Source organism: Homo sapiens, chromosome 1 (assembly GCF_000001405.40).
Source record: "Homo sapiens chromosome 1, GRCh38.p14 Primary Assembly".
NCBI lineage: Eukaryota > Metazoa > Chordata > Mammalia > Primates > Hominidae > Homo > Homo sapiens.
Genome location: NC_000001.11, coordinates 145,477,277 through 145,498,845, shown reverse-complemented (window position 1 = coordinate 145,498,845; position 21,569 = coordinate 145,477,277).

Sequence of the window (21,569 nt, the reverse complement as noted above, 5' to 3'; positions counted from 1 at the left end):
AGGGGAGAGAGGAGAGAAAAAAGAAAAGAAAAGAAAAAGAAAGAAAGAACCCATCATCTATGAGTGCTGTCCTCACTGAACACCAGAGGCTGGGTATTGAGTTTACATCAGCTTTTAATGAGCTCTCACTAGGTTTCTTCACCCATTCAATGGGAAGGTCTGCTTCAGAGCCATAATTGTGTTCAACGGGACTAGGTTGCAAGGTTTAATAACTCTTCTCTTCTTTTTAAAATTTAATTACTTTATTATTTCACCTTTTTTTTTAAAGCCACATGTAGGCTGAATTCATTTAATTTGACAGAATAACACTCCTTACTGCTAATCCTGATCAATTTTAGCTTTGTGTGTCTTTGGGTTGGATCCACTCAGATAAGAGGACAAAAGAGGGCCGGGCATGGTGACTAGTGCCTGTAATCCTAGCACTTTGGGAGGCCAAGGTGGGCGGATCACCTGAGGTCAGGACTTCAAAACCAGCCTGGCCAACATGGTGAAACCCCTGTCTCTACTAAAAATACAAAAATTAGCCTGGCGTGGTGGTGGGCGCCTCTAATCTAAGCAATTTAGTGATTTGAGCTGGGCTCGGGAGGCTGAGGCAGGAGAATCGCTTGAAAACCCAGGAGGCGGAGCTTGCAGTGAGCTGAGATCGTGCCATTGCACTCGCAAAAAGAGCGAGACTCCATCTCAAAAAAAAAAAAAAAACCATTCAAAAAGAGGACAAAAGGTTCATTTGGAAAGAGGACATTAAGAAATAAGGAGAAATCATGAAGGGAATTTTAAAATGAAAACATATTTAGTGGCATTGTTTTCTGTTAGGTTTCAAAAAAGTCTCCATTCCAAGTGAGTATTGGTTTAGGAATTTCTTTCTCCTTATTAAAAGTGTTTTCCTATTTACAGTGAAAATAACTTTAGTAAAATTTTGTGAGTACTAAACTTGGATTTTAAAATCAGAGATTTCGATTATATAGTCTGGAGCCTCAGGATTTTAAGTTTCTGTAGGATTGGGTAAAATGCCATTGTAGATTTTTTGGTCATCAGATTATAGAATAAATACTTAAAGTAACTTCAGATTATTATTTTCAAAACCATAGCAGAAACTCCTACCTTACCTATCTTATTGAGAGACAATGTGAAGCCAAGACTAATGGAGTTAGTATGCCACATTGATGATGAATGACTGGGTAGTACACCACAGAGGGCTGTGTCATGGAGCGTAAAGGTGTTATTCCATTCCTACACCCTACCATCCGTCTTTCCCCATTAAATCAAGGTCAGGGAATGTTACCTTATGTGATTAAATCTGGTAGAGTCATCATTAAACAGGTGAGATAAATCATATGCAGAGTAACCTACTTTTGGTATTGATGAGACTAGGGTGGTTCTTAAGTATTTTATGGAGATCAGGGTATCTTCCTAAATCCAGATGAAGAGATCAGGTTAAGGACTGCTCGCTTTCAGGCTCCACCTGAAGAAACTATGTAGTAGGCTTCTCTCCCTCTATCTTCTTATTTTATCATCTTCTTTGATCTAATAAAATGTTTTCCTTATCAATAAGTAATGTTATCTAGGTGCTAGAGAAGGCATTCATCATTGTATTGTACTTGCAATAACTCTAATACAGGAAAATGTTCAAACCACCCATAATAAAAGTAGCTAAAAAGCAGATTTCTTAAAGACTTTGTGACCGTTTAAGCTCAACTGACCTTTCTAAGTTGCATGATTCTTAGAAAGGTCCCAGAGAGATGTCTATCTGGTGCTATATAGCAGTTGCTAATTAAATGTTTTTTAATTGAATGATTTATATGAGTTGAACACCCAGTAATTATATTTAAAAAGTGATGACTTCAGTGTTTTGACGCCTTTAAAAGGCTACAGTGGTACAAAATGTAGGTGCTACCATGTGAAATTTGAACGTACAGTGAAGTACATATATTCACTGCAATATCTAGAAATAAATATGTATTCTTATAGGTAGAGGCTAGTTTATCCTTGTAATTCTACTGATAAATATAAATGTATATATTGGGGAAATTTGTGGGACTTTTTCAGTATAAGGAAGAAAAAAATCTGAAAATTGAACTCACTGCAGAAGAAATTTTTTTGTATTTTCGGGGGAAGTACCAACTAGATGTGCTAACACTTTGTATTTCTTTATGTTTAGTTGCCTCTTTTTTTTTTTTTTAAACGGAGTTTCCCTCTTTCACCCAGGCTGGAGTGCAGTAGCACAATCTCGGCTCACTGCATCCTCTGCCTTACAGTTTCAAGTGATTCTCCTGCCTCAGCCTCCCGAGTAGCTGGGATTACAGGCGCCTGCCACCATGCCTGGCTAATTTTTGTATTTTTAGTAGAGACGAGGGTTTCACCATGTTGGCCAGGTTGGATCTCTTCACAGCCTACTGAGCAATAAATGAGATAGCCTAGAGCAGTGGTTTTCAATTTCAGGTAGTTTTGTTTCCCAGGGAACATTTGGCAAAGTCTGTAGACAATTTTTTATCTTTTTTTTGGAGACAGAGTCTGACTTTGTTGCCCAGGTTGGAGTGCAGTGGCGTGATCACGGCTCACTGCGGCTTCCACCTCCTGGGCTCAAGCAATCCTCCCACCTCAGCCTCCCAACTAGCTGTACCACCACACCCGGCTAATTTTTTAATTTTTTGTAGAGACAGAGTCTCACTGTGTTGCCTAGGCTGGTGTCAAACTCCTGGCCTCAAGCAGTCCTGCTTCGGCCTCCCAAAGTATTGGGATGGTAGGTGTGAGCCACCACACCCAGCCTGTAGACATTTTTGATTTTTGTAACTAGGGGCTAGAGGAGGGTTGCTACTGTCATGCAGTGGGTGGAGGCCAGAGATGCTGCTGAACATGCTGCAGTGCACAGGATAGACCCCTCAAAACAAAGAATTATATTGGGCCCAAAAAGGTAAGAGGGCTGAGGTTGAGAAACCCTGGGATAGATAGAGGGATAGTCAGTGTCATCTTGTGCTAATTGTGTTTAAGGTTTTGTTTTGGTGTAGGTTTGATTTTTAATTTTGGGATCCCAGTGAATTTTCAGTAAGAAAATTGAGACCGTATAATTTTAGGCAAACCTCTGATGGGAGAGAGGGTTTAGAACAGGAACTAGGGCTCAGTTAGTGGCTGCAATTCCATTATAGCAGTATCTATTGGAGTTACTTTCTGTCTTTGGAATTACTGAGACCAGAGGAATTGGATTACCCCTCTCAAGTTACATACTGTAAGAGCAACTTATAAAAGAAAACTATCCACATTTTTTTGTCAGTTGGGAATTAATTGAGATAGAAACACTGCATGTAATTTAGTAAGACAGCTGGAAATCCCAGTTTGAAAACAAAATGAAAAGCAGACAACAAGCCTAACTTTTAGTTTTACTTTCTGTGTTTCTCTTATACCTCTCAGAAGTTTCATAAGCTCCAGAAATTTTGTGTTTAACCTTTTAGTTTCTTCAAATTCTTGGTTGAGAGGGTATATTGGAGTTATTAATCTTTGTTCTAAAATTCTTCGGGTGACTTCTCGCTGAGTCATCTGACCGTCTCAGTTTACCTAAGTATATCCCATTGTAAAATGATACTTAGGTGCACGTATTGGAAGCTTGAATGAGGAATGGAGCTGTATAATCCTAATTGAAAGGCAGTGTAAGAATCGTGAGCAATCCTTATTTGCAGAGAAATAGGGCCATTACCGTATTAGAAGCATTTTAGGTTGTTGTTATAGTTTCACATACAGAAGTTTAGGTGCTGAAAAATTATTCTTTTTTAGAAATTTCTTTTTTCAATTGTTTGCTGTTCAGAGTTTCTCAGAGGTCCCCAGATGCATGTATATCAGTTAGAAGTAGGACAGGTATGGTGGCTAACACCTGTAATCCCAGCACTTTGGGAGGCAGAGGTGGGTGGGTAACTTGAGCTCAGGAGTTTGAGACCAGCCTGGGTGATATGGCGAAACCCCATCTCTTAAAAAAAAATTTAAAAAAGAAGTGAGTTGGCGCCAGTGATTTTTAAACCAGGCATACTTTTCTTGTATGATAAGTAGACTGTTGGTGACTCTTTTCCCAAAACAGACCAGTTAGATTTTGTTTTTTGTTTTTTTTTGAGACCTGAAGCCTCACTCTGTCGCCCAGGCTGGAGTGCAGTGGTGCAATCTTGGCTCACTGCAACCTCCGCCTCCCACGTTCAAGCAATTCTTGTGCCTCAGCCTCCCGAGTAACTGAGATTATGGGTGTGCGCCACCACACCTGGCTAATTTTTGTATTTTTAGTAGAGGCGGGGTTTCACCATGTTGGCCAGGCTGGTCTCAAACTCCTGACCTTGCAAGTGATGCGCCTGCCTCGGCCTTCCAAAGTGCTGGGATTACAGGTGTTAGCCACCACGCCTGGCCAGACCAGTTAGTTTTGTCTTCCTTGAAAATCTGTTAGGACAGATTAATCTCTCTCCTTGATAATTTGAACAAGTGTCACAGGAAACTTCTTAGTAGACAAGGTAATGTCTACCTCCTTGCCACTCACTTTGATGTTGTACAGATTTGAATAGACTTTTAACCCATAGTACCATCTTCCAGAAGTTTCATCTTGCTTACCTTTCACCATGCTTAGAATTTACATTCTCAAAAGAAAAAACAGTTATAGTTACATGCTCTTTCTTACCTTTTGCTGGATTAACTGAGACCTGCAGGTATCCTACAATGATGCTGATCTTCTAGCCCGTTAATTCTCAGACCTCTCAGATTCAGTGCCCTCTTCTTATAAGTATTTTGAAATACTCTCTTTAGTGAAATGAAATCCACAGGTAATACAGCTTTTCTACATATATGTGTGTGTGTGTATATATATATATATATATATGTTTTTTTTTTGTTTTTTTTTTTTTTTTTTTGTGAGACAGAATCTCTGTCAACCAGGCTGCAGTGCAGTGGCGTGATCTTGGCTCACTGTATCCTCTGCCTCCTGGGTGCTTCAAGCGATGCTCGTGCCTCAGCCTTCCAAGTAGCTGAGATTACAAGCGTGCATCACCACACCTGGCTAATTTTTTTGTATTATTATTTATTCTTTGTAGAGACAGGGTTTCACCATGTTGGCCAGGCTGGTCTCGAACTCCTGGCCTCAAGTGCGCCCACCTCGGCCTCCCAAAGTGCTGGGGTTATAGGCGTGAGCCACCACACCCGGCCCTACATATATAATTAAAAAAATTATCTTGCAGTAAGATAAAGGATAAATAGAAAATATTTCTGACAGATTAGCTTGACATGACAGCTACCTGAGTAGACTGCTATAAGGGTATTTGCAACTTAAATACCAGGAGAAGCAAACCAGTACAGTGAACAATTCTTTGCAAATGTACAAATAAAACTCAAGTACAACTTCTTTCTTCTTCTTCTTTTTTTTTTTTTTTTTTTTTTTTTTTTTGGTAGTGATGGGGTCTCACTTAGTTGCCCAGGCTGGTTTTGAATTAGGCTCAAGCTGTCCTCCTCCTTGGCCTCCCAAAGTGCTGAGATTACAAACGTGAGCCACTGCATCTGCCCCAAAGTACAGTTTTCTCTTACTTTATTCAGCAGTTGCTTTTCTGGACATTTAGTACATATTAAAATTATGGACTGGGCACGGTGGCTTACGCCTGTAATCCCAGCACTTTGGGATACCAAGGCGGTTGGATCACTTGAGCCCAGGAGTTGGAGACCAGCCTGGGCAACATGGTAAAACCCTGTCTCTACAAAAAATTTTTTTAAAAATTAGCCGGGCTTGGTGGCACGTGCCTGAAGTCCCAGCTACCTGGGAGGCTGAGGTGGGAGGATTACCTGAGCCCAAGAGGTCAAGGCTGTAGTGAACCGTGATCACACCGCTGCACTCCAGCCTGGGTGACAGAGTGAGACCCTGTCTCAAAAAAAAATAAATAAATAAATAAAATTATGCAGAAGGACTTGGTGCTTATACGTAGAATGTAATTAGGTTCTAGGCTTTGGTAATTATACAGATTTTAAAAATCCAGTTAACTATTCATAAGGAAGTTTGAGAATAAAGACATTTTTTCTTTGTGCTGGACTTGCCTATGCTTTCCTGGCCTCTGCCAATTGAATGTCAGTAACACTTTTTTTTTTTTTCTGCAACTTTTATTTTAAGTCCCGGGGCACATGTGCAGGATGTGCAGGTTTTGTTATGTAGGCAAACCTGTGCCATGGTGGTTGGCTGCACAGATCAACTCATCACCTAGCTATTAAGCCCAGCATCCATTAGATATTCTTCCTGAGGCTCCCTCAACAGGCCCCAGTGTGTGTTGTTCCCCACCATGTGTCCTCCTCATTTAGCCCCTACTTACAAATGAGAACGTGTGATGTGTGGTTTTCTGTTCCTATGTTAGTTTGCTGAGGATAACGGCTTCCAGCTCCATCCACATCCCTGCAAAGTAATCACTCGTCCTTTTTATGGCTGAATGGTATTCCATGGTGTATATGTACCACATTTTCTTTATCTAGTCTCTCACTGATGGGCATTTGGGTTTATTCCATGTCTTTGCTATTGTGAATAGTGAGAAGCACTTCTTAACTGCTGTGACAACCAAAGCACTTCCATAGATGTCCCAACTATCCCCTAGATGATTGTGTTGTCCTCATTAAGAATGACCTCTAGTCATACAGGAAAACATTTTTCTGTTTTATCATTCACTCTTCTTTTTTTTTTCTTGCTTATTATTCACTACTTTAGCACAGCCTTTTAGTCTAAAAGACAAAGATTTACTTGGCCTTTAGACAATTCCTATATGTCTTTAAATTTCTTATTTCCTCACCACTCTTATTATTGATGTTTTCTTTTTCATAAGTGTTAGGACAGTGCCTTGGTACATAGTAGATACTCAATTAGTATTTGTTGAATGAAGGAAACTTAACTGTAGGCTTTTTCTTCTTGCCACTTTCTGCTTTTTGTACCTGTTGAAAATGATGGAGGTACCAGTGTTCATAAAAACCTTGAAAACAGGCTGGGTGCAGTGGCTCATGCCTGTAATCCCAGCACTTTGGGAGGCCGAGGCAGGCAGATCACTCGAGGTCAGGAGTTCAAGACCAACCTGATCAACATGGTGAAACCCCGTCTGTACTAAAAATACAAAATTAGCCAGGTATGGTGGCGCATGCCTGTAATCCCAGCTACTCGGGAGGCTGACGCAGAAGAATTGCTTGAACCTGGAAGGTGGAGATTGCAGTGAGCCAAGATCGCACTACTGCACTCCAGCCTGGGCAACAAGAGTGAAAGTCTTGTCTCCAAAAAAAAAAAAAAAAAAAAATTAGCTGGGTCTGGGTGCAGTGGCACACGCCTATAATCTCAGCACTTTGGGAGGCTGAAGCGGGCAGATCACCTGAGGTTGGGAGTTTGAGACCAGCCAGCATAGTCTGGAATTCAGCCAGTATGTGTGTGACCAGTGGTGGGTGTTGGGGCCTTCCAAACCCTTTCCCCCCAACCTTGACAAAAACATCAGTACTTTCCCCAAAAAGGCCTTCAGAACCCAGGGACCCCGGTTCGGAAAGCTGGACTCTTGGCACTATACCTGGGATACTCCCGGAGACCTGGGTGATAATTGAGCTTCTTTCCTCATATACCTATTTCGAATTCCTGGAAAACTCCGAAGATCAGATCTTGCTTTTTAACTTCTTATGCCTTACAGAGACCAAAACAAGAGCAAAGAAATGGACATTGCACTCCAAGATTTTTTCCCTTCACCATGCCCTGGTTGGCCACCCAAGGAGGCCAGTTCAGGGAAAAACAGTTCCATTCGATTCCATTCGACTTTAGTTAGATGCTAGGATATTACTCCTTTAGCTAATATAAAGCATTGTTTTGCTGTTTGCCTTTGTCTGATACCCATGTTTTCACTCTCATTCTTTTGTTTCCAATAAGCCTGGTACAGATTTGCACCACTCTTTTTGTTGTTATTGTTGTTGTTTGTTTTCTTTTCTTTTTAAATGTTTTACTTCCAGTTTTACTTTAAATTTAGGGGTACATGTGCAGGATGTGCAGGTTTGTTCCATAGGTAAATGTGTGTCATGGTGGTTTGCTGCACGGATCATCCCATCACCCAGGTACTAAGCCCACCATCCATTAGCTCCTCTTTCTGATGCTCTCCCTCTTCCCAGCCCCACCTTCTGGCAGGCTCCAGTGTGTGCTGTCCCCACCCCCATCCTATCTGTCCACATGTTCTCATCATTCAGCTCCCGCTTATAAGTGAGAACATGTGGTATTTGGTTTTCTGATCCTGCATTAGTTTGCTAAGGATAATAAGCACTGCTTTTAATATTTAACCCTTTTCTGTCCATTAAACTGTTAGAGCCAGCATTTCCTTTTCTATCCAATCTGAGAGATTTAGATTCATTACAATTAGCAGTAATTAGTGTTATGTTGGAGATGATGGGCATAGTCTCATTCCCAGCATCTCATTGTATGATTTCTCTGTTTTTGCTTTGTTTTTTAAAGTCTCTTCCTGCCTTTCTTATCTAGACTGGTCTGTCTGGGTGAACTTTCTGTTTTCAAAATTCCATGTCCTTAGCACAGGGCACAGTATGGTGGCTGCTCTGAGCAAGGCCCTTACTGTCTCTCCTTTTCTCTGTTTATCGCATTCCCATTCCCTTGTCCACTTCCAGAAACTCGTTCTGAGATGTTTAGTATATGCTCTTTTATCCCACACTTTCTCTGCGTATTTCAATAAGGGGATGTCTTTGGAAAACATACATTGTTCTTGAACAATGTGTTAACCATAAAATGTGAGTTGGTTCCCCAAACCCATTCCAGCCTCTTTACTCCATTCTGTGTACTAGCTTCTCAATTTTTCTATTCTAACAGTAAAGTTTATGTAAAAATGGGTGAGGGGAAAGAGTCAAGCCAATTTAAAATGAACAAAACACTTGAACAGTGTTTGTTCACAAAAGAGGATTTCTTCATGTCCAAATGTCAAAAGAAAGAATTATCAGCATCGTCACTCATTCAGAAAACACAAATTTAAAATGCCGTGATACACCATTACACGCCCATCAGAATGGGCAACATTTAAGAGACAGGGAAAACCACTAGCTTATAAGAGTGCGGAGCAAATGTATTCCTTGTTGCTGGCAAGAGAATATGATAGTGCAACCATTCTAAAAGAGTGTCTGATAGTTTCTTTCTAATAAAGTTAAAAATATGCCTGCTCCATGACCTGGCCATTCCATTACCAGGTTTATACTCAAGAGAAATGAAGGCACAGGTCCATAAAAAGGCCCATAAACACCTTATTCACAATAGCCAAAAGTAGAAATATTCCAATCTTCCATCAATGGTATTGTATTCATCAATAACATCAAAAAGTTGAGATACATGCCATAAAATGAATGTATCTCAAAACCATTGTTGCATTCAAAAAAGAAACAGAATCAGTATATTCCTTTACGTGAATTTCAAGAAGAAGCAAAAGTAACCCATGGAGATAGAAATCAGAATGTTGATTGCCTAAGTGGGGATGGGGTGAGGACTGACTGGAAAGGGGCTCTGATGACTTTTTGGGCTGGTGAAAATGTCCCGTAACTTGATCTGGGTGATGGTTTCTTACGTCAAAATGCACTGGGCTGTGCACTTCAGATTGGAACACTTTGGTCTGTGTGGATTATACTTCAGTCATTTACTGATAGCAAAAATACATAAACAAATAAATAAATAAAAACAAATAACATTTGGGTGTTGGGGAATGACATTAAGTTTAGATTTTATTGTATTCTTTAGGCTTTACTTAAAATTCCCAGTTGGAGTGCAAACTAGCCTCATGTCCTCTCGCTTGTTTCTGATTCGGCCTTAAAAGGCCCCACGGATGTTTGAAATATCTGAACCAGAAAAACGGTTATGGCCACATCGTGGTAATAGTGGAGGATTCCAATAAGGCTGACTGAGAGGGAGCACCTCACCTTTTGGGTGCTGCACTTGCTCAGAGAGGGGGCAAAAGCCCAGCCTTTCAAGATGACTGGACCCCAGCATGCAAGGTAGGGGTTCCTTCTATTCTCACCACTGCACAGAGCTCCGAAGGCACTGGTAAGTTGTAACCTCTCTAGTCGCAGGTAAAAGCGCAGCCTAGGCAGAGGTTGGAGTCTAAAGGAAAGGAGGAGTGCCACGCCCCAGGAGGGACACTGCCATGACTGGGATTCCACCCTTGGCCGCGATGCAGAGTACTAACCAATATACCATCACAGGAAGCCGCCTGCTTTCTTCTTTAAACTTAATATAGGGCTGCTTCGGCCTAAGGGTCCCCATGATTTTCCTTCTTTCTTGGTGTCTCTCCATTTTTCCTGGCGTTCTCCCCACTCTGCTACAGTAGAAAAGATGATTTTTGTCTCTCAGGGATCCGGTCCTTACCGCTGAACAAAGCTACTGGGAAGTTTCCTCGCCAGGGTCGCCGCCTCTGCCGACTTCCTTGCTCTCCTCCTTGCAGTTACCCGTTGGACCCACCCAGTGCCCCGCTCCCGCCCTAGTGCCCCAGGCACCCACCCAAAAACAGCGCAGCTGAGCCCCCGCAGCTCCATCGCGCAGAAGGTTTACTGGAGGCCTCAGCCCGTTGTCTGCCCCACGGGATGCCAGGAAATCCATCGGAATAAACGCTTTTTAAAAAGAATTTACCGCCGGGCGCGGTGGCTCACGCCTGTAATCCCAGCACTTTGGGAGGCCGAGGCAGGCGGATCACGAGGTCAGGAGATCGAGACCATCCTGGCCAACACGGTGAAACCCCGTATCTACTAAAAAGAAAGAAAGAAAGAAAGAAAGAAAGAAAGAAAGAAAGAGAAAAAAAATTAGCCGGGAGTTGTGGCGGGCGCCTGTAGTCCCAGCTACTGGGGAGGCTGAGCCAGGAAATGGCGTGAACCCCGGAGGCGGAGCTTGCAGTGAGCCGAGTTCGCGCCACTGCACTCCAGCCTGGGCGACAGAGCGAGACCCTGTATCAAAAAAAAAAACAAAAAAAACAAAACAAAACAAAAAAAAAACTTACTTTCCCTTCGCGACCAGCCTGGGCAACACGGTGAAATCCCGTCTCTACAAAAAATACAAAAATTAGCCCATCGTGTGGCGCACGCCTGTAGTCCCAGCTCCTTGGGGCGCTGAGGCAAGAAAATCGCTCGGCCCCAGGAGGTCGAGGCTGCAGTGAGCCGTGTTTGCATCACTGCACTCCAGCCTGGGCTACCAAGTGAGACCCTGTCTCACAAACAGAACAAAACAAAACTTCCCCATGGAAAAACAGTTCATGATTTCTATTTTCAGAGCTCTTCAAAAGACTAAAAACTGAATGCGACGATGGATTAATTCAAGTCCTAGTCGTGCGCTCTGGTGAGTGCCATACCCTGTTTCCCGCGAGGGGACCCACGAGCGACCCTCACCATCATCACTGCCCTGGTGGAGCCCCCGTGCGGGACACAGGATCCGAAGATGGCAGCGGAAGCTCCGCAGCGGCCCCGAAAGCGACTGGGCAGGGTGGGCACAGGCTCCCTCAGTGGGTGAAGGCGGCGCAAAGAACGCGAAGATGCATCCCAGGAGCCCACCGAGCGTTCAGCTTCCCCTGAGCCTCGAGGCGGCGGCTCGGGTCGCGGACGAGGGCGTTTCCTCGGGCTTCTGAAGCAGGCGAGGGGCAGGGCGGGCGAAGGCCATTCGGCTGTCCTTCGTGCTCTAGAATATCCCAACGCGCAGGTGTCCAACACTACAATTCACCGCTCTAATCTCTCCGGTTTTCCAAGGACCTGGAACTTGCACAGTCGTCCTGCCAGGAGGGCCCCTGAAGATTGAGGGGATGGGGAGTTTGCTGAGTGCACCCTTCCTATAGCGCCCAGAAGAAGGCACGGAACGTGTACCTGCAGCGCAATTCGTTAGAGCATTCTGCTGTTAATAGAAAGGTTGGTAGTTCCAGCCGGGGCCCTGGGGCTTTATTTTAACCTGTTTCTGTTGATGGGACAACCAACTCCTGATTGATCACAAGACACACATGTCCCCACTTCCTATCCACCTTAAGTCTGAGGCTTGGCAAGGGCCACCGCGCGTTATACCTATCAAACTCAGGAATCCCATAGACCTTAGAAAGGATCTCACCTGTGGTGTGATAAAAATCTTCCTTGCTCCCATGACTTGGGTCAGTTAGGTGGACATTTTGTGCTTCAAGTTTTTCATGTTTAATAATAGGAGGCCTATTACAGTAGTATCCTATCCCCAGGATGTGCCTGGGTTTACTGATTGCTCTATCAATAATGTGACCAGTGGAATCAGTCATCCTCATGGTGATCATCGCCAGTGTTTGTGAGAACAGCATTTCTTCTTGAGTTTGTGCATGATTTATTTAACCCTTTTCAAAATGTTTTTGAAGTGAGGTGCGTTTCATAGTTTTAGGATTACAAATGATGCTGCAATCACCATCATTCTTGTACACATATCTTCGGTCACTTGTGCAGATATTTCTATAGTGTGGACAACAGGATGTGCTAATTTTACATTATAGAATTTATTTAATGTTTCCAATTTGAGTACATTCTGCAAATTTATCTTTCGTGGGAGCGGTACCAAATCGTATTCCAATTTGTTTCTCAGTTCTGTTAATGTCCCCTTTGTCATTTACTTGCCGGCACAACAAACTTTCTACACATGGATGTATGATATTCCAGCCTTGGTCACCCAGGTTGGCATGCAGTAGTGCAAACATGGCTCACTGCAGCCTCGACCTCCTGGGGCCGAGCGATTTTCTTGCCTCAGCACCCCAAGGAGCTGGGACTACAGGCGTGCGCCATACTATGGGCTAATTTTTGTATTTTTTGTAGAGACGGGATTTCGCCGTGTTGCCCAGGCTGGTCGTGAGGGGAGAGGCACCCTCCTGGCTTAACTGAGGGGTTGTACAACAGAAGGACATGGTGGACATTGCACACAGAAACTCTGTGACATAGGATGAACTGCTAAACTTCTAAGATATTTTAAAGTCCTCCAACATCTGTGATTGTTTTCTGTGATGACTAAGTCACACTGGTCCAGAGAAGATGGGCCACAGCGACCTCTTGGAAAGCTTTCTGTCAAGTCCCTTACACAAGGGGAGCAAAATCACAAAGGTCCCAGGCAATTTTTTTCTTCTCCCCTTTCCTCTTTTCTTCATAAATCTTGGTTTTTCTTTTATTTGCCAAAACCAATCTAATGCCCTTTCTCCCTCCTATACAATGGTAAATTACCATGCAGATAGCTGTCCCTGTATTATTATTTGATAGATTTTTTCAGGGGCTATGTCCATAACAATTAGCACATCTGAGAAACATCACTGGAGCCAACAGAACCCTCCACCCAACGGGCATCTTGTGTAGACCTGAACCCTCAGAGCTATTAGCTCCTGTTTCCTTGCTTCTTTTAATGAATATCATGAATAGAAATTGAGCTCTTTGGCTTTTAATCACTAAGTATGGCTGTAGTACATGTCTCTGTCTCCCTCTATGTCTTCTCTCTCTCTCTCTCTCTCTCACTGTTTCTTTCTCATTTTTGCATTATTATTTTCTGTCATCAGTGGCACCAATGTGGGTTTCTGGTTTTGATGTTATGGAGTGAACTTCTGGGGACAATCTCTGTTAGGTGGTGGTTGACAAGGATCCATTCCCTGATTGGCAGTACATGACAGCTAATCTAGTCTGTGAGTCTTTCTTGATTGTCCATTATCCTAAAGATTCTGGTCTTTCCTGACATTTGAGACTGCAGCAATGAGAAGGTTTTCATATCTTGTCTATCTGATGTTTGGTAAAAGTCTTAGGGACACATTAGCTGTCAATATCTGCAAGAATGGCATCTCTGTAATAAGGATGATCTTAATACACACTATGCCACACCCCATTTCATAGGAACTCTTGGCTCCAGGAAAGTGCTATACCTAAATGGATCTTAGCACAGGAAAGAAACTAAATTCCTAGCATGTGAGGGGAACCTTTCTTTGATTGGCATATTCAAGTTTTTCACAGCTGAAAAGTATCAAATTAATCTCCTCTAAGGATTGTGTAAATTACAGCACAGGAAGGAGAAAAAAGACAATTATAACATCCCAAATAGGCAACTGAGTCAGCAACATGAGCACTTGTGATAATTATACGAATCAAGACCTCATAATTTCCTGGAATTTAAGCAAGTCCAGCCCTTAGTAAAAATGGATGAAAAGCAATGACCTGTAAAAGTTGTCAGAATGAAAAATGGAGTCACGTATGCCAAATCCTAACAAAATTCAATCAGGAGATCATAAAGGAGGGGTGCTCACACACACATGCCTGTGATAAAAACTATTACAAGAACTCTCTGAAAACCATAACTTTGCACAAAGGCCACCACAACCTTACCCAAAGAATCTCTCTGCAATGACATCTGCCCAGCAACTGCCTATTCATCCTTGGACTGATGCCACCCTTGTGATTATTCCTTGTGGCCAAGGATAATTGTTTCAAAACAACTATGTAACCTTCCTCATTTTCGCTGTTAAAGGTTCCCCTTCTCAGCCTGCCTGGTTGTGCCTTTGGGTCCTCATACGATAGTGCGCATATCCTGGATTGAAATCCTCTGTTTATCCCCAAACATTCACTTCTTTGGAGAACCACTCTCTCTTGGTTGTTCTTTTAGGTTGGCAACTTCGTACTCTGGAAAAGAGAATAACCTGCTAGACTCAAAAGTGTATCACAGAATTACTGAGATTTTTGGCAGAGGGGCCCTTCAGGTATCCAAGGGTGCTTAATGATTCCTTTTGTTTCCCTCACTGATAAGCATCCTTGATAGACACCACTGCCTCTGTTTCCACTTTAAATGATATTACTTATGACATTTAGATGCTTTAGAATGCCCAGTATTTTAATGGATTTTTTTCATATATAAATACACAGTATTTTCTCAGGAAACAAAGTAGAATACTTTGTCTTCCTCTGGAGGGTATAGACAAATCGAGTATCTGATCAATATAAAGGAGGTACTGCCCCAATTGTCTTATTATTACTATATGATTATTATTAATTTTCAGAGACGGGGTCTCTATTCCTCACCCAGGCTGGAGTGCAGTGGCATGATCTAGCTCACTGCTGCCTTGAACCCCTGGACTCAAGTGCTCCTCCTGCCCCAGCCTCCTGAGTAGCTGGGACTGCAGGCACATGCCACCATGCCTGCCTAGTGTTTTTATTTTTCATAGTTACGGGGTCTCACTGTGTTGCCCAGGCTAGCCCAATTAGCTTAAGAACAGTAATAACCATGTGTTTAAATTTACAATAAGAAAACTAAGACTTTTTATGAAAAAAACCCCACCTTTTTCTATGTATGCTTTAAATGTGATGTTTCTCTGAGGGAAAAATCCTGCTGCTGAGTTTCCCAAGAGGAAAAACAAGCTGCAGGTCAGCCGAGACAGAGATGGGGTTGAGGTGATCTGTGCCTCTGGTGCCTGCCAGGGGCAGAGGGGAATTCATCTTCAGAGACAGAGAACACGACTCAGTCCTTTCATAATTTTTCACAGAGACCCACCATTCAGTCATAGTATTCTAGGCATATAAAGAAGCAGAGGCAAGAGAAAACAAACTCAAAACAGGAAACAGTAGGTTTTTCACAGATGATGGAGACATCGAGGTTATAAGACAGTACCATTCAAATGATATGATTTAGATGTTCAGAAGAATGGAAGAGACGGTAAAAATTTTCACCAGAAAATAATAACCTATTTTGAAATAAAATGGAAATTATACAAATAAAATACGGTAATGGTAGAAATAACATAGAGATGTAATAAATACTTATAATTGGAAAGAAAATCTATTAAAGTTAGAAATAAAATGCAATAGTTATTATTTTAAAAAGTCAATAGATTGGTGTAATGGCAGTTTGGATCCATGTGAAGATGGATTACTAGCCTGAAGATAAGTAAGCGGAGACTTTCCAGACAAGCGGAGAGAGAGCTAGCAGGAAGGAAAACTAAGAAACAAGTGTGTGTGTATATATATATATATATATATATAAGTTATGTCATAAATGCTTAAAATAAATTGTCACTAATGTCCTGGAAGCTGGAGGAGACAGAAAATGGGACAGAAGCAATACTGAAAAGAAATAGTTGTTACCTATGGACAATTAAGAGAAACAAACCCAACGAGGCATCAAGCCACATGTGCAAGAAGAGCTATGAACTCCAAGCAGCATAAGGACAAACAAACGACACCTAAGCATGTCATCAGGACACTGCTGAACGCCCAAGGCACATGGGAAAACCAGAGCAGCCCCCAGAGGGGGAAATTCCTATTGTGTCCAAAGGTCAGGTGCTAAATTCACAGCAGTGAAAAAGTAAGACATCATAGAGTTCTAAAATACTACCATTTTCAACTGACTGCTGGCTCCTAACCCAAGACTACAGATCTTTCAAGTGAAGGTGAAGTGCAGACCTTTCTGGAGAAGCAGCACATGCTAACTAAGGGAAATGCAAAAATGTGAAATATCCCCGGGGAATGTGGAAAGGGAACGAAGGAACGCAGGGCGATGTGTAGGTTTAATGTGTGGCTCAGTCAAATAGTACGTTTTACTAATCCAATGATCATAATGATGTCCATGTGACTTAAAATATATGGTGCCTTAAAATTAATGAGAGTAACTTGAGAATCACAAGGAGGGTAAATGGAATTAAGATGTTCCAGACTTCTAGCATTGTGTAGGAAGAGTAAAAAGGTCTAATTTACTCCAAACTTTATTATACAGATTTTACGTATGTATATAAGTAAAAAATATATCTCAGGGTTAAACCAATACTAAAACAAGTATTCATTTTGGGATTTCGGCAGTTTAAAAATAATTAACATTATTTTTATATTAAAAATGTAAATGTAAAAAGTGTACCATGAAGCTTAATAAATGTATAGACCCTTGTAAGTATCAACTAGACCAAGCCACATAGAACATTTCCATCAACCCAGGAAGTTTTCCATCAAAGTACCTCAAAGAGGGAGCCACTGTTGAGTCCTGATGCTTCATATAAATGGAATTACACAGGAGTATCAGACAGGTACATTAAGATAAATTTGTTTTAGATGTTCAAAGGATACTTTTATAGGAAACTTTTGCTAAGTATAGTGTTTGGAGGGTTTTACCCATGTTACTGTGTTTTTTCATACTTTTCCTACTTTTTTTTTTTTGCTTGTTTTTGTTTGCTGTGCATGAGGTCATTTTATGACTATATAACAGTAGGTATTAAATTCTTCTGTTGATGAAGACTGTGTTGTACCCAGTTTTTCCTTAGTATAAAAATAAGGTTGCTATGAGCATTTTTTGTAGAAGCCTTATTGGATGTATATGTTCATTTTTCATGGGTAATGAATGAAAGTAAATTTGCTTCCTTATAGGGTAGGCTTAACTCTGCAAGAAACTGCCAAATATTAGAAAAGGTGTTGTGCTAAATTGCAGTCCAACAAACACCGCACAGCAATATCGTACACGCTCTGAATGAGGAAGAAGGAGAGGCGGCAACTTTCAAAATCAGGTTTTCTGTGTTTCCTTCCATTTTCTCGCAAGCCTTTAATGACATTTTTGAAGGTGGCTATGGGGACATCAAGTGTCATCACCAGCCTATTCAAGTCTTGCCACAGAGCCATGGAGATATACCCCAGGGAAGCCCAGCCAAGTGTCAGGCTTATAAACATCAGGCAGGAATAGATACCTACGAAATGAAAAGGGTCAGGTGATCCCTCCCTCTCCTCCCATGTCTGTGCCTCTCTTTGCAGCTGCCTTGTCCCTAAAAATCATCGCTCCACTTATTTTGTCGAAGATAAAGCCAGACATTAGTTAAAGCAGAGAAAACAGATTTTATTCAGTAACTACTGATAGTAGAGAACGGGGCTGAGCTGTGTTCCCATTTGTACAGAGGTGATGGCATTATAGGGGGAGAGGGAGGTAGGGGAGAGGGCAGGGGGCAGGGCACAAGTGAAACATTGTGAATGTCTGCCTCATCAGGCCAGCTGTGTCTGCTAGCTGACAATATTAGAAGATAGGATTCTAACCTCCCACAGAGACTGGAAGACAGAGGCTCAGTCCTTCCTGAGAACTACAGCTCAAAGGAATGGCTTTCAGATCCTAGGGAAAGACACACTGGAGTCCCTAGGAGATACAAACACATCTCAAAGGGATGGAGGAAGGATTCCCTTCTTAGTAAGTGCTATACAAAAGGGAGATCCTGAACCTACCATCATCAGCAGGTATTGGCTGGAACTAAAGTAAGTTCCTCTGGCAGCCTTGAGCTTTCTGGGGTAGGCATTGTCATGGGAGCCTACAGTCACCCTCCGGACAAAGCCTTATGTCCCAGAAGCCATGATAGATCTCTTAGCCCAGAGATTTAAACTGAGTCATTGTGTGCTGAGTTTGGTGTTTCTCACTTTCCATCCCCCCATTCCATGGCTTAGATTTTAGTCCACTCTGTCAGATGTACAAGGCCACGGGCCATTTTCAGTGGCTTTCAGGCAGCCCAGGCATATCTATTGAGACCTGAATGAAAATTTAAAAAAATTAAAAAACCCCATGAGATTGAGAGTGGGCCCCACAATAGGTATCCATTACCCATATTCAAGGAGATGGACATGAATATTTCTAGGCTTTATCAAAATGGAAAGTGGCTTATGGAGTCAGGATGAAATTCAAACTTACATTAGCACTGCATATAGCTTATTGATATATTTTTATATCAAAGCCATGACAAAATGACAATCCACAAGTGCAAAGGTATGTAGGGGTTGGGGAGAGACTCCATAAGGTCAAAATTAACCTCACTCTATTTATTTATTTTTATTTTTAATTTTTTTGAAATGGAGTTTCACTCTTGTTGCCCAGGCTGGAGTGCAATGGCGGGATCTTGGCTCACTGCAATCTCCACCTCCCGGGTTCACATGATTCTCCTGCCTCAGCCTCCCGAGTAGCTGGGATTACAGGCATGCGCAACCATGCCCGACTAATTTTTTGTATTTTTAGTAGAAATGGGGTTTCACCATGTTAGCCAGGCTGGTCTCAAACTCCTGAGCTCAGATGATCTGCCCGCCTCAGCCTCCGAAAGTGCTAGGATTACAGGGGTGAGCCACTGTGCCCGGGCAACCTTACTTTCAATGAAACTGTTACATGTTGCTTCTGTAAGAGAAAGGAAGACAATGTTGGGCTGGAATACATTAATTGTCATGGGATAAACAGGCAGGACATGATGCTACATTTGTTAGTCACTTTTATTGAGAGTATTTGTGAAGATGAATTTTTCTGTCAGTTTGAACGGGCCATGGGGTGCCCAGATATTTGGTTAAACATTATTTCTCACTGTGTCTCTGAGAGTGTTTCTGGATGAGATTGACATTTGAATCGGTAAACTGAGTAAAGCAGATTGCCCTCCCCAGTGTGAGTGGGCCTCATCCAACCCACAGAAGGCTTGAATAGAATGAAAGGCTAAGAAAGAAGTCTCTGCTCCACTGTCTTTGAGCTGGGACATCAGTCTTCTGCCTTGGGCCTTGGACTTGGTAGAGAACTATATTCCACTCTCCTGGGTCTAGAGCTTACTCAGTGTAGACCTTGGACTTCTCTGCTTCCATAATCACATTAGCCAATGTAAATCTCTGTGTGTGTGTGTGTGTGTATGTGTGTGTGTATGTCTGTGTGTATCCTGCTCGTTTTCTTTTTCTGGAGAACTCAGACTAATGTAGTAATATATACCACTTGCCAGTCTTTGTCTCTATGCTTTTAAAAGGTGTGTAATAAATAAATAAAACCCTGGAGGTTTCTCAAAGAAGAACAGCAAAGGAAATGAATTCTGACAGGTTTTGCACTGAGGACATTCAGGTGTGAGGAAAACATGAAAACCACTATGCTAGGGAAAGCAAATGCTGTTGAGAATGTCTCACAAACACAACTTACACGTCAGTAGGTAGGTTTGACCCTCAGAGTGGGCACATTTTACTCTAAGTGCACTTTCGGTGAAACTTAAGATGAATCTAGGACTCTCACGATGGACATATTTCTCTCTGTGTGTATACATATATCTATAGAGAGAGAGTGTGTGTATATATTATATATATATAATATATATACACAGAGAGAATGTGTATATATATATTTTTTAATATATATATATATACACACACATATATATATATACACACACAGAGAGAGAGAGAGAGAGAGAGAGAGTCTTACTATCTAATCCAGGCTGGTCTCCAACTCTGGGCCTCAATCGATCATCCCGCCTCCCCCTCTCAAAGTGCTCAGATTACAGGCGTGAGCCACCTCATCCAGCCCATTTTCATATTTTTAATTTAGTTCAACCATTGTGCAAGACACTGTGGCGATTTCTCAAGGATCTAGAATCAGAAACACCATTTGACCCAGCAATCCCATCACTGGGTATATACCCAAAAGATTATAAATCATTGTACTATAGAGACACATGCACACGTATGTTTATTGCAGCACTATTCACAGTAGCAAAGACGTGGAACCAACCCAAATGCCCATCAATGATAGACTGGATAAAGAAAATGTGGCACATATACAGCATGGAATACTCTGCAGCCATAAAAAAGAAGGAGTTCATGTCCTTCACAGGGACATAGATGAAGCTGGAAACCATCATTCTCAGCAAACTAACACAGGAACAGAAAACCAAACACCGCATGTTCTCACTCATAAGTGGAAGTTGAAAAATGAGAACACATGGACACATGGAGGGGAACATCACACACTGGGGCCTATAGGGGGGTGGGGGGCAAAGGGAGGGATAGCATTAGGAGGAATACCTAATGTAGATGGTGGGTTGATGGGTGCAGCAAACCACCATGGCACATGTGTACCTATGTAACAAACCTGGACGTTCTGCACATGTATCTCAGGACTTAAAGTATAACAATTTTTTTTAAATTTAAGTACACATTCCAAAAATTATATAACAAGTACAGGAAGCCTCCTTTATGCCAGTTTTACAAAAACAGAAAAGATGATATATCAATGACAAGGCATCAAAGTGGCAACATAAAGTAGTGAGAGAGAGAAAAAAAGTTATTTTGGAATTCTATGCCACAATGAAAAATCTCTAAAAAATGTGACTGAAATAAGGACATTTAAAGACATACACATGCGCAGTGGCTCACACATGTATCCCAGCACTTTGGGAAGCCGAGGCGGGCGGATCACTTGAGGTCGGGGAGTTGGAGACCAGCCTGGCCAACATGGCAAAACTTCGTCTCTACTAAAAATACAAAAATTAGCCAGGTGAGGTGGCACATGCCTGTAATCCCAGCTACTCAGGAGGCTGAGGCATGAGAATCACTTTTACCCAGGAGGTGGAGGTTGCAGTGAGCCCAGATCATGCCACTGTACTCCAGCCTGGGTGACAGAGTGAGACTCCATCTTAAAAAAATACAAATAAAAATAAAGACATACAAATAAATGAAAGCATTCACCGACCCACACTACAAGAAATGTTGAAGGAGTCCTCCAGGCCTAAGGATAAGGATACCAGACAGAAATCTGAACCTACACAAATAAATGGAGACGACTGGAAATCGCTATGTATGTACTTAGATGTTGGGGTTTATAACATGTC